Source organism: Homo sapiens, chromosome 22 (genome assembly GCF_000001405.40).
Source record: "Homo sapiens chromosome 22, GRCh38.p14 Primary Assembly".
Lineage (NCBI taxonomy): Eukaryota > Metazoa > Chordata > Mammalia > Primates > Hominidae > Homo > Homo sapiens.
This window is the reverse complement of record NC_000022.11, coordinates 36,224,792-36,245,098: the sequence shown is the minus strand read 5'-3', so window position 1 is coordinate 36,245,098 and position 20,307 is coordinate 36,224,792. Positions and strand designations below refer to the sequence as shown.

Here is a 20,307-nt window from a genome sequence, read left to right as displayed (position 1 = left end):
GAAATAGGCCTGGGCCAGAATCGCCAGGAACACACATTGATTTGGTCAGGATTTTTCTGACTTGTCCCAAAGGAAGTGCTTCTTGGCTTTCATCTCCAAGAAGGAGAACTTTGGCCCTGGTCTCTTCCCACCAAGCTTTTTAAAAGTTAATGTTAGAAGTCTGAGGAAGATGGCAGATAGGAGACAGGGCTAACATGCAGCTCCCACTTGGAAGGACCGGACAGCATGTGGAGACCCACATCATGTAATAATGTGTGCCAAGAACCACCACAGGAATGTACCAGGAAAACTGAAAGAATTCACAGATCCTTTGAAAGAAGTGGCATGCTCCTTGCCAATTCTATGAGACAGGCAAAAAACTGGGAGTTCCCAAAGTGTGAGGGAGGGAAAATCTGCCTCCAAACACACATCGCCCCTGGGGAATCTGAAAATCCAGATTACAGGAGAGGGATTTAACCTTACCCATAGCTGAAATGGATTCAGAGAACCATGCAAAATGTAAAAGTAGAAGCAGAAGTGGGAAGAATCCTGTAGGCATTCCCAGTGTCCAGCTCAAGCCCAGGGCACCATCCCTGGCGGTATCTCACAGAGGCCTTTGGGGAAAGCAGCCAGCAGAATTTGGGAGGGGTCACAGGGTGAAAGAAGCTTCCAGATGGATTTTCTAATAATTTCTACTGGGCTTGAATTTTCTTGAGCAGAATCCAGGGGGAGAACAGGAACTTCTGCAAATATGAGCCCAGGAGCCACCACTGACACTGTGGGCAGATGGGGAGAGGCAAGGCCTGAAAGCCATGCTTGCTTTCTCAGTGGAGAAGCTTATGGCCTGGGACAAGGTCTGAGTTCTGCGCACAGGCTGCCTGAATCTAAACTTGGCATTGTTAGTGGGGCACTGCGGGAGCAAGGCCAGCCTTGCCAACTGCATGTGATCTGGGTGAGGCCTCTCGCTGCCAGCTATCCCCCACTTCCCTGGCGAACTATATGGCACAGCAGAGGCAGCCATAATCCCCTCTGTAACAAACCCCATTGGCCTTAGGACAATCTGCATCCCTCACAGTGGCCGCAGCAAGCCCTGCTTAAGGAAAGTCTGAGCTCAGACCCAGCTAACCCTGCCCTCCACCTGATGGTATTTCTCTACTTATCCTGGTAGCTGAACACAAAAGACATAAACTCGTGGGAGCTTTATGGCCCTGCCAATCACCTGAGAAACTAGAATACTTACCCTGGTCAACCTAGGGCAAGCTTGTATCTCCCTTCTACTACCGCAGCTGGTGCTCTCTTGAAAGTGCCACTTCCTGGCTGGAGACCAACCAACTCAGGCCATTACAGCAACTCATGACAGAATAACCCTATTCCCAGGAAGGAGAAGACAAGAGCTAATACCACTGCCCGCAACATCCTGACTGACCAGAGGTCCTCAGTCTCTCCACATGACAGCTTCACTGCTAGCATAACCAGCATTGGAGAAAACAGCACACTAAAGAGAACTACAACCAATGACTCTCACGGAGTCTACTTCACTCGCCTGTCACCTACACCAGAGTAGGTGCTGGTATCCATGGCTAGGAGACCAGAAGATGATCACATCACAGGACTCTTTGCAGACATTCCCCAGCACCAACCCAAAGGCTGGTATAGCCCCAGTGGGTGGCTATACCCAGAAGAGCAATAACAATCACTGCAGTCTGGCTCTCAGGAAGCCCTATTCCTAGGAGAAGGAGAGTACCACATCAAGGAATAACCCGTGGGACAAAAGAACCTGAACAGAAGGAGTTGAGTTTCAGATCTTTCCACTGAAATAGTCTACCCAAATGAGAAGGAACCGGAAAAGTAATTCTGGTAATATGACAAAACATATTTCTATAACACCCCCCAAAGCTATTGCTAGCTCCCCAGCAATAGATACAAGCCAACAAAAAATCTCTGAATTGCCATATAAAGAATTTAGAAGGTTGATTATTAAGCTATTCAAGGAGATAGCAGAGGAAGGTGAAAACCAACTTAAAGAAATTTTAAAAAATACAGAATATGGATGAAAATTCTCCAGAGAAATAGATATCACAAAGAAAAAACAATCACAGCTTCTGGAAATGAAAGACACACTGAAAGAAATACAAAAGGCACTGGAAAGTTTCAACAATAGACTAGAACAAGTAGAAGAAAGAACTTCAGAGCTTGAAGACACAGCTTTCAAATTAACCCAATCAGACAAAGACAAAGAAAAAAGAATTTTAAAAAATGAGCAAAGCCTCCAAGAAATTTGAGATTATGTTAAATGGCCAAATTTAAGAATAATTGGTGTTGCTGAGGATGAAGAGAAATCTAAAAGTTTGGAAAACTTATTTGAGGGAATAATTGAGGAAAACTTCCTTGGCCTTGCTAGAGATCTAGATATCCAGATACAAGAAGTTCAAAGAACATCTGGGAAATTCATCACAAAATGATCCTCACCTAGGCACATGTCATCAGGGTATCTAAAGTCAAGAAGAAGGAAATAATCTTAAGAGCTGTGAGACAAAAGCATAAGGTAACCTGTAAAGGAAAATCTATGAGATTAACAGCTAATTTATCAGCAGAAACCATACAAGCCAGAAGGGACTGGAGTCCTGTTGTTAGCCTCCTTAAACAAAATAATTGTTAGTCAAGAATTTTGTATCCAGCAAAACCAAGCTTCATAAATGAAGGAGAGATAAAGTCTTTTTCAGACAAACAAATGCTGAAAGAATTCGCCACTACCAAGCCAGTACTACAAGAAATGCTAAACGGAGTTCTAAGTCTTGAAACAAAACCTCGAAATACACCAAAATAGAACCTCCTTACAGCATATTGTTTTATAAGCCTTAGGGCCTATAAAACAATAACACAATGAAAAAAATAAGGTATTTAGGCAACAACTTGCCTGATGAATAGAACAGCACTTTATATCTCAATACTAACATTGAATGAAAATGGGCTAAATGGTTCACTTAAAAGGTACAAGGGCTGGGTGCAGTGGCTCACATCTGTAATCCCAGCACCTTGGGAGGCTAAGGCAGGCAGATCACGAGGTCAGGAGATCGAGACCATCCTGGCTAACACAGTGAAACCCCATCTCTACTAAAATACAAAAAAAAAAAAAAAAAAAAATTAGCCAGGTGTGGTGGTGGGCGCCTGTAGTCCCAGCTACTCGGGAGGCTGAGGCAGGAGAATAGCATGAACCCAGGAGGTGGAGCTTGCAGCGAGCCAAGATCGCACCACTGCACTCCAGCTTGGGTGACAGAGAGAGACTCCATCTCAAAAAAAAAAAAAAAAAAAAAAAAAAAAGGTACATAATGGCAGAATGGTACCGGTATAAAAATAGGCACATAGATCAAGGGAACAGAATAGAGAACCCAGAAATAAAGCCAAATACTTTCAGCTAACTAGTCTTTGACAAAGCAAAGAAAAACGTATAGTGCGGAAAGGACACCCTATTCAACAAATGGTGCCAGGATAATTGGCAAGCCACATGTAGAAGAATGAAACAGTATCCTCATACAAAAATCAACTCAAGATGGATCAAAGACTTAAATCTAAAACCTGAAACCATAAAAATTCTAGAAGATAACATCGGAAAAACTCCTCCAGACATTGGCTTAGGCAAAGAATTCAGGACCAAGAACCCAAAAATAAATGCAACGAAAACAAAAATAAAGAGATGGGACCTAATTAAAGTAAAAAGCTTCTGCACAGCAAAATAAATAATCAGCAGAGAAAACAGACAACCCTCAAAGTGGGAGAAAATATTTGCAAACTGTGCATTTGACAAAGGACTAATATCCAGTTTCTACAAGGAACTCAAACAAATCAGCAAGAAAAAAAAAATAATCCCATCAAAAAGTGGGCAAAGGACATGAATAGACAATTCTCAAAAGAAGATATACAAAATGAAATGGCCAAAAAAATATGAAAATGTGCTCAACGTCACTAATTATCAGAGAAATGCAAATTAAAACTGCAATAAGTTGCCACCTTACTCCTGCAAGAATGGCCATAATTTAAAAATCAAAGAAGAATAGAAGGGTGCAGTGGCTCACACCTGTAATCCCAGCACTTTGGGAGGCCAAAGCAGGTGGATCACTTGAGGTCAGGAGTTCAAGACCAGCCTAGCTAAAATGGTGTGAATATGGTGACAAGGGAAAACTTTTACACTGGTGGTGGGAATGTAAACTAGTACAACCACTATGGAAAACAGTATGGCAACTCCTTAAAAAACTAAAAGTAGAATACCATTTGATCCAGTAATCCCACTACCGGGTATCTACCCAGAGGAGAAAAGTTATTATATAAAAAAGATACTCGCACATGCATGTTTATAGCTGCATAATTTGCAACCGAAAAAATATGGAACCAACCTAAATGCTCATCAGCCAACAAGTGGATGAAGAAAATGTGTGTGTATATACACACACACACACACACACACACACCCCTATATATGTATATGCCATGGAATATTACTCAGCTGTAAAAAGGAAGGGAATAATGGCATCCGTAACAATCTGGATGAAGTTGGACACCATTATTCTGAGTGAAGTAACTCAGGAATGGAAAACCAAATATTGTATGTTCTCATTTATTAGTAGGAGCTAAGCTATGAAGACACAAAGTCACAAGAAGGATACAATGGGCTGGGCGCCGTGGCTCACACCTGTAATCCCAGCACTTTGGGAGGCCAAGGCAGGTGGATCACTTGAGGTCAGGAGTTCAAGACCAGCCTGGCCAAGATGGTGAAACCCCATCTCTACTAAAATTACAAAAAATTAGCTGGGTGTAGTGGCAGGCACCTGTAATCCCAGCTACTCGGAAGCTGAGATGGGAGGATGGCTTGATTGTGCCACTTGAAGTAGCTATGATTGTGCCACTGCTCTCCAGCCTGGGCTACAGAGCAAGACTCTATATCAAAAACATAACAGAAAACATAACCTCAGAAGCATTACAATAAATATGCAATAAGCATCCACCCAGCATGTGTGGGGGACTGTGCTGATGCTGATGGCATGTGTGGGAGTAAGGCAGGCATCTGAGGAATGTGGGGGAACGGAAGGACGGGGAGTAATCTGGAGAGCCCCACGGTCAGTCAGTGGCAGGTCTTTCTTGAGCTCAGAAAGGTTAGGTAACTAGTTCAGATCAGACAGTAAAACAGGGGCAGAGCCTGGAATTGCACTGAGGCTTGAGTCTGACTTCTCTCCCCCACCTGCTGTGCCCTTAAACTGCAGAGATCGGGGCGGGGGTTGGGGGGCAAGCGGCTCAGATGGGTTCAAAAAACTCCCCAGGCTCAACTCTGGTTCTGACTGCCTGAGACATGGGCAGCTGACACAGCAGACCTTGAATCCTGAGGATGTGAGGCAGGTGGGTTGGATGAGAGGGACCCGGATGTCTGGTCTGCGGCTGCTCCTCTAAGTGCAGCAGCAAGGAGGCTGGGCCTGGACTGCAGGTGGTGCTGGGGAGCAGCGTGTTTACTGTGCTTGGTCATGAGCTGCTGGGAAGTTGTGACTTTCACTTTCCCTTTCGAATTCCAGGGTATATCTGGGAGGCCGGAGGACGTGTCTGGTTATTACACAGATGCACAGCTGGACGTGGGATCCACACAGCTCAGAACAGTTGGATCTTGCTCAGTCTCTGTCAGAGGAAGATCCCTTGGTAAGTTGGGGATAGTGTGATCTACCCCCATGTCCTTATTCTTGCAATAGCTCTATAAGGGAAGGATCATTCAGCTTTTGTAGATAAGCTCAGAGAGGTTAGGTAGCTGGTTCAGATCAGACAGGAAAGCAGTGGCAGAGCCGGGATTTGCACCCAGGCTTGAGTCTGATTGCTCCCTCCCTCCTGCTGGGCGGGTAAACTGTAGAGAGAGGTGGGGAAAACAGCTTAGATGGGTTCACAAAGCTCCCCGGGCTCAGCTCTGGTTCTGACACCCTCAGACACGGCCAGCTGACCCCAGAAGAAAGGTAGGTGTTGGGGGTGCCCATCTCTTTGGGAAATTTGAAGGAATCAAAGAAGGTGGAGGAGGGGAGGTGACCTGGAGCCCGGCATGTCCTTGTGGCCGGGCCACACCCAGGCTGGCCCCAGGGTGCTGCTGCTGAAGCCCAATGGGAACAACAGATTTCTTTTGAGACACAAGGAACTCAGAGGTTGTCTCACTCACCCTGAGTCTGAGCACCTACTTGTGCCAGGCCCTGTGGGGAAACTGAGGCCCTGGGAGGGGAATGACTTGCCAGGGTCCCGTGTCAGGAGGCTGAGCAGGCAGATCATAGGACTTCACGTCTCTGGCCCTCACCTCTGTCCCTCTGTTCAGACCTCTGAGCTGATAGAGAAGAAACAGGCTGTGCTGTGTCCCTAATGGGAAACATGGCTGAGACAGGGGAGTGAGAAGGTCGCATTGCAGAATGGTACCTGTGGCATGATGCCAGCTTTGCAATCATGAGATTCAAAAGCCACACTGTGGAATTGTGAGTATAACTACAGGAGTGAGAGCTTAGGTCTCTGTGTTTGTAGAAGCAGAATCAAACCTGGACACTGTTGGATTATTAAAATCACCCATTTTTGCTTCAATATCAGAGTCACAAGGGCAGATGTTGGCCTCCCCTCTGCCCTCCAAGAGCTGTGTGACTCTGGGCAAGTCACCTCCCCTCCCAGCCTAAGATTTTTCCCCTCTAAAAAACTTGATAGAGCTGCCAAAAGTCCATGAAATCAGGGGGGTAATTTCTGTGAAATATGAGTCATGGTCTTATTTGTTCTTCACCAAAAAGAGATGCCCATCAAGATAGAAAGAAAAATTAAATTCAATTTCTCAACTGAAAGTGAAACTGAAGCTGGGCCATGTCATCCAGAGGCTGGTTGCTTTTAGTTCAAGTAATGCCTCCTGCACCTGGGATTTCAGCCAGGCTGTGCCAGGGAGGGCGGAGGGCATCCAGGTCAGTCGTAGGGGGTGCAGCTGGGAACACAACAGTGTCCCCATTGAATGTTCAGAGTCTAAAGGGGAGACAGAGGCCCAAAGAGCCACATACAGGTAGAGCTCCCTCTGGAAAGCAGAGTGCTCAGGGAGCCTGGGGAGGGTTGGGGGCCGCCGCATGGACCAGGCAGCTTTGGGTGGGTCTCTGAGGACAGGTGACTTGCACATGGTGGGGACAGTGGGGGGGACATTCCAGGGCGAGGGAGCAGCTGAGTGAAGGCCTGAGGCTGGGGATGGGAGTGGGAGGAGTAGATGGGCTCCAGGAGGCACCGAAGCAGGGCGTCAGTGGGTGCCTGGACCTAAGGTGACTGTGGTGGCAGGGAGCGGTGAGGAAGGTGGGGTCCAGAGCATCAGAGGGCCTGTGTGCCCTGCTATGGGGTTTGAACTTGACCGTGGCTTTTCACTGAAGATTCCTCAGAAGGGTGCAGTGCCACGGCTGAGGCCTGTAATTCAGTGCTGTGGGAGGCAGAGGCGGGAGAATCACATGATGCTAGGAGCTCAAGACAGCTTGGGCAACACAGGAGATGCTGTCTCTCTGAAATGAAAAATTAACAAATTAGTCCTGCATGGTGCCGTGTGCCTGTAGTCCCAGCTACCTGGAAGGCTGAGGCAGAAGGATCACTTGAGCCCAGGGGCTCTAGGCTACAGCAAGCTGTGATAGCCCCAAAGCACTCCAGACTGGGTGACAGAGCAAGACAGTTTCTCAAAAATAAAATGAAAATGACGATTTCTCAGGAAATCATTTCGACTCCTCTTTCCCTGCCCAAGGAGGATGCCCCACAACCACTTGGAGGGAGATGCTTTGCTGAGAGTCCCTGTCCTCTGCATCTGGAGAGCTTGGCTCAGAGCTGAGGTGGGAGGGAGGGCTCCTCTTCCAGGTCGCTCAGTTGGACACCGGAATTGACCAGCCTGCAGGCTCACCCATGGAGTACACACTGTGTCCTAGTCAAGCCTGAGGGGCAGTATCCAGCCTCAACCCCCAGCAGAGGCTCCAGACAAAGGTGGGAGCCAGGCCAACAATGACCCAGGAGGATGGGATCCTGGATGCAGCTCCTCACAAGTATTGGGCAGGTCCGAGGCCCCAGCTCTGTCTGCCCTCCTGCTCCTCTTCTCCCTCCTGGTCCTCCTGGTTCTCATGGCTCATGAGATGGCGTTGAGACAGCTCCCCTGGCCTAGGGTGTCACAGAGTGAACAAAGCAGGAAGAAGGGGAAGGGAAGACCCCCTCCCGTCACCCCGTCCCTTACAGCAAGAAGTGTCCAGATGCCCCTCTGCATACTCCCCTGGTGAACTGCTGCCCAGGACTGGGTCCCCCTTTTAGTCTTGCTGCGTAGGGGCCCCAGAAGACAGATATCTGGATGCCTCGACCCTGAAACAGAGGTGGGAAGTGGAAAGAGGGAGGCGAGTGGCTTTTGAGGAGGGGGCTTTTGTATAAGAGCTGGAGGATGCCCGGGAACCACTGAGCTGTTAAAATAAAGTCTGCAAACAAAGACCAGCTGCTGGAAGTGGGTGTGCCGGGGAGTGCGCAGAGACACAAGGTGAGAAAAGAACAATGGTGATTTTGGAGCCGCCCCTAACTGGGATGGGCCTGAATCGGTATTATCATTATTACTTATAGTGTCATTATTAGTCATTTTCATCTTGTTTGTACACTCCCTCTATCTCTCCTCTCCACCTTTTCCTAATATTGTATCACCAGTTTTATGTCCTCCATTAGCAACTTTGTAGCTGTAAACAATTTACTTACAACTTTCTTTCTTATACTCTCAGTTTTACCTAGTATTTCTTGACTCCCCTCTTTAAAAGATGACAATATTAATCCTCCTTCTCCTTCGTTCAGTGCTTCACATCCCAACTGCTACCTTTGTGCTTTAAGTTTGTACTAATCGGTAACAAGTATATTTAGTTCTCATATTTATATGCTCTGTTCTGTTCTCAAAGTTAAAAATCAATCAAGAGTGTTTACATTTTGTGATGTTTTAAATACTATTTACTGTGGAGCTGAGTTGTACACCATGTTTGCACATGTTTTGTGGCACAGCTTTACTTTTTCCTGATGTTTCTAATTGCCTTTGTTTTTTTTCCTCCCTTGTACTGCTTGCCTTCTTCATTTCCTCAGTTTCTCTCAAACTGTGAATCCTTTGAGGTATTCTATTGAGTCCCTTTTTCCCACAGAACCATTCCCTTTTTATTCCATCCTGGACTGGTCGTTTTGTAGGCCTACTGCATGTCCCACTGTGATCCTCAGATTCCCTTCTCTCTGGGTTGATTTTCCTGTTTTCTGGATCCCATGTCTTTTTCTTTCTTGGTTATCCCCACCTGCCCTCCATGGATGCACAACACATACACACACACACACACACACACACACACACACCCACCCACCCACCCTTTCTTCCTCCCGGTGGCTCATTCTCAAGTAGCTTTCTTAGAACACCCTGTGACCCTGTGCCTGGTAACTTTTCTATTCCCCATATAGCTCCTTTTCCTCTGTCATCTTTTTGGTTTATTTTCTGGAGGATTTCCGTGACTTTCTTTCACATGGTCTCTCTAGACTTGTTTATTTGATCATCACCTTTTAGTTTCTAGAAAATCTCTTTTTTTGTTTGTTTCATTGATTTTTCTTCTTTTCTATATATCTTGTTTTAAGTTTATGAATAAAATATTTTTTAATCTCCCTGAGGACATGGGTTTGAGATTTAAAAAATTACTTGTTTGTTCTGGACTCCTTTTGTATTTGGTCATCTTGGTCTGTTTCCCCACTTTCACCTTTCTCCAATTTCTGATCCTAGATCTATTCATATTGAACGGGGTGGGGGGCAGGTCTACTGGCAGTCTTCCCTGTAGGGTGATTGAATGGGAACCCACTGAAGTGTCAGAATACAAAGATATTATTTCTGGGGCATATTGCTTCAGTCATGAACTCTCTGATTTTTTTCACTGGTGTAGACTCAAGGCTGGCATGAATCCCATATGGCACGTGGGCCTGGTGAACTCCTCCCCTCTCTGAGGCTCTGCCTAGTAGACCACTCTGCCTGGCTGGATGCCCTCTTGGCATTGCTGTGGTTCACAGCTCCCTTCACCCCTCTTTATTCAGTTGTCATTTCTTCAGCCAGTTCTGTTTTCCAACATCTCTTGGCATCTCTGATCTCCTGTTGCCCTCATTTAAATTTTCATTGGCAGCAGAGGGTGCAGAGGCAGTGCGTGAGTTCTTGAGTCCGTCTGTCTGGGTGGGAACCCAGTCTTTACCACGTAGTAGATTCTGAGCTTGGGCAAGTCACTGAACATCTGTTTCAGTTTTCTTACCTGAAAATGGAAATACCAATGGTACACACTTCCTAGGTTCTTGGAAGAGTTCTGTGAGTTACTATTTATAACATCTTAGAGCAATTAGTGGTGCAAAATCCACCAATGTTTGCCCACATTAACATTAAGTGCCATTATACCTGTAAGTGCCTTGACTATGGCTGTAGTTTGATCTCAGGAGGGGAGGTTGATAAATGCTCTTCTGTCTTCTTAAAACAGTGCCTAAAGATGATTAATATGATTAACATTTGCTATTTTCCCTCACCTCCCAGGGTAAGATAATCAGGAGCAGAATGTGAAGAACTTTCCTCTATATAAAGATCAGCATTTATTCAGGCCGGGTGTCGTGGCTCATGTTTGTAATCCAGCACTTTAGAGGGCAGGGTGGGAGGATCCCCTAAGGCCAGGATTTTGCCAGCAGCCTGGGCTGCATACTAGGAGTGAGACCTTGTCTCAAGGAATAATGTTTTGTTTTGTTTTGTTTTCCTGAAGAAAAGACTACTGAGAGCCAGTAAGACTGAAAGAATGGACATCTTCATATCCTGTTAGTTTGAGTGTGAATTTGTACAGTTTTCATACAGAGTGGCTCTAGGTATAAAAACTTTTGAGATGTTAATAGCTTTTGACCTAGTCATTCTACTCTTAAAAGTATCTTAAGGAAATAATCTCAAATGTGAGCAGTTTTACGTGAGGGAGGATATTCTTTGTAGCATAATTTATATGAAGAATTAGAAACACCCTAAGGTCCATCAGCTAGGGGAGGACAGCAGAGGGGACGGGGAAGCATCAGGAGGGCTCGGCAGCCACAGCAGGGGCTGGGCCGGCATCTAGCAGGATCCAGGTCTTTGTGGGACAAAGAATCTTAGAGAAGCAACGGGGACACAGGCTGTCCACTGCAGCACCAGTGAGTTCACCAAGACGAAGAGTTGAGCACAGAGTGTGAGACAGGGATTTGCAATGAGGAGTCATTTACCATGAGCGTGTATACATGACTCAATATTGTATATTTAAGGGAGTAGAGCACAGTAATTGAAGACATGGGATTGAAGCAGAAGTCCTGGCTCTAGCACTATTGTGAAAACACCCATAAGTTCCCTAACTTTTGTGGATTCCTCTGTGTTCAAATGGGAAAGTGGTACCCATCTCCTGTCCTGTGTGTGATCATCGAATGAGATACATGTCAGAGGCCATGCACATCACAGACACACAATACACACTGGCTATCATCAACTAGTTATCATACATGTTCCCAGGCCCAGGTCATTGTCAGAATGTTCCCTCCCATCTCTATTCCTGTGTATAGACTCTGTAGTTTCTGTAATGATCAGATGGCTGCCCCTCCTCTGATTATCTTCTTCTCATACCCCTACAGGACAAGAGGACCCTGCCTTGGTGTGAGAGTGAGGGAAGAGGAAGCTGGAACGAGGTGAGTTTCTGTAAATACTAGCTGGCAGGGCCCCAGGAGATAAACACTCTGGACATTTGCTGCTACCACAGAGGGATCTGCAAAGACCCAGCCCCTCCAGCCTCCCTCTGTACACAGGAGGCTCACCTTCGATCCCACAATTTGTTTTCTCGTTCTCAAGGGTTAAGGAAAACCTTCCAGTCTGGACAGTGACTGGAGAGCTCCAAGGAAAGCCCCTCGGTAACCCAGCCGCTGGCACCATGAACCCAGGTAGGCTCGCTTCCTCTTTCCTGGCTAGTTCCTACTCGCACCTAGAATGGAGGGTGGCACCTCCACAGCTGAGTGAGCCCCAGAAGAACCCAGATGGACTAGGAGGCCAATGAGTCTGCCCCGAGCAGCAGAAGAGGTCACGTGGAGTCCCCCGACCCAGGGGTCTGGGGGTCATCTGCATCCTGACCTCTCCTCGGGGTGACACGGCCCAGGTGCCCACTTCCTCCCTACCCTGTCACCCAGCAGATGACTCAAGTGGGGCAGGACAGCCATGAGGAAGTGGAACAAGCAAGAGAGGGGAGTGGGGGAAGAGCAGGGTCCAGGAGGAGGGGAGGGGTGGGAGAGGAGGTTGACCTGCAGCCCTGATCTCTTATCTACCGCTCTTCTCCCTGCTGACCCAGGGTTTTTTCCAGCACAGGCCGGTCCCCTCCCTCCAGCTCTTGCCCTGCACCAGCCCCTCTGTTCTGAGTGGCCCTATGGGAATGTATCATGCTTGACCCAGCTTCCAACTTAAATGGACCCCGGTCTGGCCTTTTCCAAGTCCCTTCTGTGTGACCTGGAGCTCCTTACCTCCCCTCTCGTGTACCATGAAAATAATATTTCCCCATGTTGTCACGAAGATTAAATATTATAAGGGTACCTGGCCTGGCCAAAGCCTGCCACACAGTAGGGCCTCCCTAAGAATTAGTTTGCATCCCCTCTATCTCCTCTATCTATCCCCTGTTGATTCCAGGTGGAAGCCACCCAGTCCCCTCATCTGTGTTAGGGCACCCGCCCTGCACTGCCCATCACAAGCACCTGCTGACCAGGGATGACTGCCTCAGGCAGGGCCTCATTCCCATGATCTCAGATACCCCTTGTCAAAGAAAAATCTGAGGCACAGTAACATTTATTTGAATAAGAAGGAATTCATGAATTGAGAAAACCAAACTGGAAGAGGCTTCATGTTATGATGAAAAAGTGTCAGAGACAAGTATTTATCGAGTAAATATGAAACTGCAATAAGGACATTATTTGATTGGTTGCAGTTACAAAACTGCCTGTTTTGATTTACCTTTTTGGAAAATTCCTGGTCACATTGGTGCTGGTGGGTTTAGGAAGTTCTCCGAATCCAGGAGAGACCAGACCTTAGCCTTGTCCAGGTTTTTGACTCCACTGAGAGAAAAAATTTGAGTCAAAGAAAAAACAAATCAGCTGCAAAGCAGAAGCACAGGCTCAGGGATGGAAGTGCAGGTGGACTCAGAAGAGCCAGTTGGGCCCAGTGGGGTTTGGGGTTTCTGTCTTTGATGGTTTATTAAATTAAGGGGTTGGAGCCTTGGGAGGACTCTCTTGCTGGCTTGCGGCAGCTGCCTTTGCGCTGTGTGCTTACCTGGCCTTATTGTTTCTCTTTCTCTTCTTACAATAGGACACTAGCCCTCTAGTAGGATTAGAGCCCTACCCTTGTGATCTCATTCAGTCTTAATTGCTTCCTTAAAGGCCCAATCTTCAAATATAGTCACTCGAGTTTAGGGCTTCAGCATATGAATTTTGGGGGCACACAATCCCTCTATAGCACTGATGACTCCATCAAACATGTCCCACATCACAGTTGTCCAGGAAAAATTAACATGTAACCACCTAATGTGCAATGGCTGTTATGCTCCCCTACACTATCCTCCAACCTTATCCTTTCTTCTTTCCAACTAGAGAGCAGTATCTTTATTGAGGATTACCTTAAGTATTTCCAGGACCAAGTGAGCAGAGAGAATCTGCTACAACTGCTGACTGATGATGAAGCCTGGAATGGATTCGTGGCTGCTGCTGAACTGCCCAGGTAAGCTCCATGGGGTTAACTCCATGGGGCGCCCCAGCGATGCCACTCAGATCTCCCCTGGGCTGGTTGTCCCTGACAGGCACACCTCCTCCAGGCAGCCCCCTCTGCTGGGCTTGAGGATGACCTTCTCGGCACTCCAGGAGGAATATTTCCTCCATGTCCTTCGCTGGCAGTGAGTAGCCTCAGGCTGAGGGGATAGGAAGCCCACAGGAACAGGGTCATTTCTGCCATCTGCTGGTGATGGGAACTTTGCCAGTTACTTTCTCACTTTCAGCCTTTCTTCATCAATGGAGTTTTATTATGAGAAAAATGAGATCATGCATGTAAAGTGCTTAGCATAATGACTGACACATAGTAGGTGCACAGTTAACGTTAACATCTTACAAGCTTGGTGGAAAGAGACCAGGGTTAAGGATCTTCTTCTTGAAGATGGGAGCCCAGCAGGACTTCCTTTGGGAAAAGTCAGAAAAATCCTAACCTAAACAATATGTGTTCCTGGGGATGCTGGCTGGGGCCTTTTTTCTCATCTGAAGAATTCCACAAACACAGCAGGACCCTTCTGCTGGTCCAGGATCCTGAGAGGCCTAGTTCCTGGGCTCTGGGCTTATGTCATGGAGACTTGGAACTGTCTTCTGTCCAATAGGAATAGCAATTCAATGTCATAGGAGTGTGGTGAAGGCCTTAGAGGCAACTCCAGGTCAAAGGTGGGGAACCAAGGACTAAGATCCTGCTCAAAGGCCCAGAGAGACCGGGACCAGTGTCAGAGCCTGGAGTCAGGATGGAGTAAGAGTCAGCCTTGGTTTGGTAGGACAAGCAGGAAGGCTGGGGCACCAGGGCTGGGACTAGGGTGTGGAAAGAGAGGCACCAAGGGCTTGAAACTTAAGGAGGTCATGAACTTGCAGAGGACATGTGAGTGGGAGAGGGATATTTCTTCCCTGTCTGGATGATCCCAACACTCATGGGCATACAGGGTCATGGTAGCCTGTGTCTCTCACCCCATGCCTTGGAACTGGTGAGTTCTGGACTACCCTTTCAGACCTTCTTCTCTTCTACACAGAGAAGCTCCTTACCATGGCATGCCTTAGTGACCATTTCCAAAGTAGAATGAGTTGCTGCCAATTTGTGTAATTTCAGGGGTACTGAGCAGACTCACAAAGTCCCAACCGAGGAGGAAAACACTTCCTCTACCATCTTGACCAAATTCAGGTCTTTTCAGCATTAGCAATTTATATAGATGGTTCTGAAAGTGTCTTGAGTCTTCTAGTGGTTCCATAAAATTGCACATGGCCTTGCTGTGCACACAGGTGAAGCTGTCACTGCTAAGGCATCAGTTAGGCTGGTGACACCTGCGAGTGAGACCTGGAAGGTTGGGGGTGCAGGTGGTAGGTCAGGAGGCAGTAAGGTGGCTGGAGCGTCCATGTGGAGCCAGAATGAATAGCCAGATCTCCCACTCCAGTCAGCTGGGGCAGTGGCCGCACCCAGTAGCCTTCAGCCAGGTGAAAGGGCATGAGGCATTGGAAGGGAGCAGATGCCAGGCAAAGTGATCTCCTGTCTTTCTGAGGTTTTGTTTTTGTTTGAATTCAAAGTACTCAGAGATAGCCAGACTGCAATGTCTGAGGGCACCCTTACCTTTGACACCACCTGCAAATCTATGGGGATTCCTAAAATCATCCTTAGATTTTATAATTCACTAGAAGGACTCACGTAACTCACTGAAAACTGCTATTGCACGATTGTGGTTTATCACAGGGAAAGAACACAGATTAAAATCAGCCTAAGGAAGAGACACACAGGGCAGAGTCTGGGAGGATTTCAGGTGTGAATCTTCATTGTCCTCAGGAGGCTGTGTTCTCCTGTGTGAATGTGGGACAAAACACATGCGGTGTTGCCAACCAGGGAAGCTCACCCAGTTAAGGAAAAATTCCTGTGAATCACATTAAACCAGAAATGAAGCCTTTATTCAGGATTGTTGTTACAGGGGAGGGAGACTGAGCCCAGCTCCAAATATAGTAAAGACAGAGGGGGAGTCACAGCCAACACCAGGGTGGGGGCGGGAGATGGAACAGGACTGACAGGAGACGCCAGAGTGGGGGGTTCCTGCTAAACTGGCCTAACAGGATTCTCGCCAAAGGCAGGTCAGACCCTCAACCACCAGTGGTGGGGGTGAGGAGCATGATCAGATAACAAACGGTGCTCAGACAGCAAGCGGGGAGGACCCTCCCTAAACTGATTTGGGGAGATTCTTGCTGAGCCAAGGTGGTGCAAGTCCAGAAAGCAGTGGGTGAGTGTGGAAGGCCAAGGTCGGCGCCTAGTGGAGAAGAAGCTCTGAAGAGCCCAGCTGGAGTTGGTCAAGGAGAAAGTCCTTCTTTCTCAACCCATGCCTTAGTGTCCAGAGTATCTGCTGGGGCTGGATCACAAGCTGCCCTCATGGCTAGAGTCTCCAGCCCTTCCCTGAGATCTCACACCTTTAGTCCCCAAGTCCTCTGGAAGTCAGGAAAGACACCAAATAGCCCCAAACCCTATCATCCATCACATCGCTATACTGTCCCGTGGCCAAATCACCAGGCAAAGAAAGATGTTCCTACCAGGCAGGACATTCCAGGGGCCTGGAGATCACTTCCCAGGAGCTGAGGACAAAGGGAAGGCCTCTCTTTGGGTAAAGTTCATGCTTCACTTTCCTGCCATCCTGGTAATAAGGTCTCTTTGTCTCACTCTCACTGCTCTTTGTTCATCTGCAGAGTTTTCCCTCTCCAAACACTTTGGCAGTCACGGTGTTGACCTGCCCTTGAGTGAGGAGGCATCTTTATCAAACACCTACCATGAAAGAGCATCTGAGGTGCCTTTAAGATATTTATTTCCATATGGAATAAGTACTGAGGAATATCTATGATGAACAAAATGTGTTTGAGTTTGAAAGATAATTAATTCCATTTGTAAAATTTGTTTCTATTTGATTGATAGTGAAAGCTCTGCAATTTACACAGGATAGAGATCGCATGGAGCTCATTTCACAGATAGGGAAACTGCATTTCTTAATCCTTTAACCTTTCCTTGTGCAGGGATGAGGCAGATGAGCTCCGTAAAGCTCTGAACAAGCTTGCAAGTCACATGGTCATGAAGGACAAAAACCGCCACGATAAAGACCAGCAGCACAGGCAGTGGTTTTTGAAAGAGTTTCCTCGGTTGAAAAGGGAGCTTGAGGATCACATAAGGAAGCTCCGTGCCCTTGCAGAGGAGGTTGAGCAGGTCCACAGAGGCACCACCATTGCCAATGTGGTGTCCAACTCTGTTGGCACTACCTCTGGCATCCTGACCCTCCTCGGCCTGGGTCTGGCACCCTTCACAGAAGGAATCAGTTTTGTGCTCTTGGACACTGGCATGGGTCTGGGAGCAGCAGCTGCTGTGGCTGGGATTACCTGCAGTGTGGTAGAACTAGTAAACAAATTGCGGGCACGAGCCCAAGCCCGCAACTTGGACCAAAGCGGCACCAATGTAGCAAAGGTGATGAAGGAGTTTGTGGGTGGGAACACACCCAATGTTCTTACCTTAGTTGACAATTGGTACCAAGTCACACAAGGGATTGGGAGGAACATCCGTGCCATCAGACGAGCCAGAGCCAACCCTCAGTTAGGAGCGTATGCCCCACCCCCGCATGTCATTGGGCGAATCTCAGCTGAAGGCGGTGAACAGGTTGAGAGGGTTGTTGAAGGCCCCGCCCAGGCAATGAGCAGAGGAACCATGATCGTGGGTGCAGCCACTGGAGGCATCTTGCTTCTGCTGGATGTGGTCAGCCTTGCATATGAGTCAAAGCACTTGCTTGAGGGGGCAAAGTCAGAGTCAGCTGAGGAGCTGAAGAAGCGGGCTCAGGAGCTGGAGGGGAAGCTCAACTTTCTCACCAAGATCCATGAGATGCTGCAGCCAGGCCAAGACCAATGACCCCAGAGCAGTGCAGCCACCAGGGCAGAAATGCCGGGCACAGGCCAGGACAAAATGCAGACTTTTTTTTTTTTTTTTTTTTTTTTTTGAGATGGAGTCTCGCTCTATCGCCCAGGATGGAGTGCAGTGGCTCAATCTCGGCTCACTGCAAACTCCGCCTCCCGGGTTCACACCATTCTCCGGCCTCAGTCTCCCGAGTAGCTGGGACTACAGGCACCTGCCACCACGCCCGGCTAATTTTTTTGTATTTTCACTGGAGACGGGGTTTCACTGTGTTAGCCACGATGGTCTCCATCTCCTGACCTCGTGATCTGCCCACCTCGGCCTCCCAAAGTGCTGGGATTACAGGCGTGAGCCACCGCGCCTGGCCAAAATGCAGACATTTTATTAGGGGGATAAGGAGGGCAAGGTAAAGCTTATGGAACTGAGTGTTAGTGACTTTGGCATTTGTGTAGCTGAGCACAGCAAGGGAGGGGTTAATGCAGATGGCAAGTGCACCAAGGAGAAGGCAGGAACACTGGAGCCTGCAATAAGGGAGGAGAGAGGACTGGAGAGTGTGGGGAATGGGAAGAAGTAGTTTACTTTGGACTAAAGAATATATTGGGCGAAGAATAGAGGGGGAGCTTGCAGGAACCAGCAATGAGAAGGCCAGGAAAAGAAAGAGCTGAAAATGGAGAAAACCAGAGTTAGAACTGTTGGATACAGGAGAAGAAACAGCAGCTCCACTACCGACCCCCCCCCAGGTTTGATGTCCTTCCAAGAATAAAGTCTTTCCCTGGTGATGGTCTCTCGCTCTGTCTTTCCAGCATCCACTCTCCCTTGTCCTTCTGGGGGTGTATCACAGTCAGCCAGTGGCTTCTTCATGATGGTGGTTGGGGTGGTTGTCATGTGACGGGTCCCCTCCAGGTTACTAAAGGGTGCATGTCCCCTGCTTGAACCCTGAGAGGCAGGTGGTAGGCCATGGCCACAATCCCCAGCTGAGGAGCAGGTGTCCCTGAGAACCCAAACTTCCCAGAGAGTATCTGAGAACCAACCAATGAAAACAGTCCCATCGCTCTTAGCCGGTAAGTAAACAGTCAGAAGATTAGCATGAAAGCAGTTTAGCATTGGGAGGAAGCACAGATCTCTAGAGCTGTCCTGTCGCTGCCCAGGATTGACCTGTGTGTAAGTCCCAATAAACTCACCTACTCACCAAGCTGGACTTGTTCGAGTCATTCTTTGGTCTCTCAGCTCCTTCTAAGCTTTGGGGGCCATCAGTCTCAAGTTTTTCTCGTAATGGTGGTGATGGTGGTTGTGATGGCAGCAGAGTGGTGGGGGCCTTGGCAAGTGGTCGGTGCTCTTCCAGACCAGGGGACACCGATGGACCGATGAAGTTCCAGGGGAACTTGAAGTGCTGTGTTGGAAAGAGGTTAATTTGGGAAGAAAGGAAAAATGAAAGGAGATGCCAGGAACAGGTCAAGGAAGCTTGAGGTGTGTCCAGGAGTTCAACCCTGCTTGTGGTCATGAGACTTCACCCCTCTGAGCCTCAGTTTCCTCATCAGCTGTAGAAGGGGGCTGGAAAAGGTGATATCTCAGGTCCACCTTGCTCTCCCCATCTTGTGTTCTGGAGACTTGAGTCAATCAGCACTGACTGATGGCTGTGACTTTGTGGTGCCGATGGAGGCTCCCCTGGGCTCTGGGTGCCTGACTTAACCTTCCTCATGATCCTTCTTCCAGGGTCTCAGGGAGCGAAGTTTCAAGACCCCTTCTGCTCGCTCACTGGACTCTCACTTTCCCAGCTGGTCATTTCCCTGAGACCTCAAAACCCCAAGCCCATTGGGGCACTCGGGGAAAGCTTGTACATGTCTGGCTCTGGCTGAGCACAGGTGTGGTTTCCATCTGTGAGTCAGAGCCCGGGATTGACACGGGACACTCGAGGCTAACTAGTGTCAGAGGGGCCTGTGTGCAGATTGGGAGAGGATCAGCGAAAAATAGAGGGACAAAGAGAGACATCCAGACAGCAAACACTCCCATCCAGTCTGTCCTCACGTTTTGCCCAGACTCCTGCAAGAACTTCCAGAATGGTCTTCTCTGTGCCCCTGCCCCTGTCCCTCCCATGTCCTGGACCATGCTCCACACTGGGCCAGGTTGGGCTTTAACAATATAGTTTCTTTTTTTTTTTCAGATACTCTCACTCTGTTGCAAGGCTGGCAAACCGTGGCACAATCATGGCTCACCACATCTTGGACCTCCCGGCCTCAAACTATCCTTCCACCTTGACTCCCTGAGCAATTGGGACCATCCGTGTGTACCCCAATGCCTCGTTAATTTTTGTATTTTTTTTTTTTTTTGTAGAGACAGGGTTTCCCTATCTTGCCCAGGCTGGTCTCAAACTCCTGAGCTCAGGTGATCTGTTCACCCTGGCCTTCCAATGGACTGCAATTGCAGGCATGAGCCACCATGCCCACCTAAGAACATAGGTTTGATTGAGCACCTGCTTCCAACCCTCTAATGGCTTCCCATTACTCTTAGCACAAAGATGTAGGCCATGATGCTGCCTAAAGTAGCCTGTTGTGGCCTGGGGTCCTGTGAAGGAAGAGCCAGGGGCAACGTTCTGGTGTAGAGGGTTTGTG

The 20,307-nt window shown here is 48.0% G+C and overlaps 1 protein-coding gene across 5 annotated transcripts, besides 4 other annotated features; it reads left to right on the top strand.

Annotated features, from left to right (window-relative positions):
* Positions 5,145-18,890, top strand: APOL2 (apolipoprotein L2). 5 transcript variants are annotated; one of them, XM_047441285.1, is made up of 7 exons: positions 5,145-5,367; positions 5,538-5,658; positions 10,764-10,863; positions 11,644-11,697; positions 11,858-11,946; positions 13,633-13,759; positions 16,819-18,890. In XM_047441285.1, exons 5-7 carry the CDS (start codon positions 11,937-11,939, stop codon positions 17,693-17,695), a joined length of 1,014 nt encoding a protein of 337 aa, XP_047297241.1. In that variant the 5' UTR covers positions 5,145-5,367; positions 5,538-5,658; positions 10,764-10,863; positions 11,644-11,697; positions 11,858-11,936; the 3' UTR covers positions 17,696-18,890. The 5 variants fall into 5 exon arrangements, with proteins under 5 accessions (XP_047297241.1, NP_663612.2, NP_112092.2 ...); NM_145637.3 differs by lacking the exon at positions 10,764-10,863; NM_030882.4 differs by lacking the exons at positions 5,145-5,367; positions 10,764-10,863 and having other exon boundaries at positions 5,572-5,658.
* Positions 5,284-5,333: an enhancer, noted in NCBI's record as "active region_18919". NCBI's record gives its function as "activates an Ori minimal core promoter by ATAC-STARR-seq in GM12878 lymphoblastoid cells {active_cell/tissue: GM12878}" and the evidence as "EXISTENCE:reporter gene assay evidence [ECO:0000049][PMID:35858748]".
* Positions 5,344-5,593: an enhancer, noted in NCBI's record as "active region_18918". NCBI's record gives its function as "activates an Ori minimal core promoter by ATAC-STARR-seq in GM12878 lymphoblastoid cells {active_cell/tissue: GM12878}" and the evidence as "EXISTENCE:reporter gene assay evidence [ECO:0000049][PMID:35858748]".
* Positions 6,131-6,645: an enhancer, noted in NCBI's record as "H3K27ac-H3K4me1 hESC enhancer chr22:36634500-36635014 (GRCh37/hg19 assembly coordinates)". NCBI's record gives its function as "activates a minimal SCP1, AML or CMV promoter by ChIP-STARR-seq in primed H9 embryonic stem cells {active_cell/tissue: H9 hESC(primed)}" and the evidence as "EXISTENCE:reporter gene assay evidence [ECO:0000049][PMID:30033119]".
* Positions 17,258-17,936: an enhancer, noted in NCBI's record as "H3K27ac-H3K4me1 hESC enhancer chr22:36623209-36623887 (GRCh37/hg19 assembly coordinates)". NCBI's record gives its function as "activates a minimal SCP1, AML or CMV promoter by ChIP-STARR-seq in naive H9 embryonic stem cells {active_cell/tissue: H9 hESC(naive)}" and the evidence as "EXISTENCE:reporter gene assay evidence [ECO:0000049][PMID:30033119]".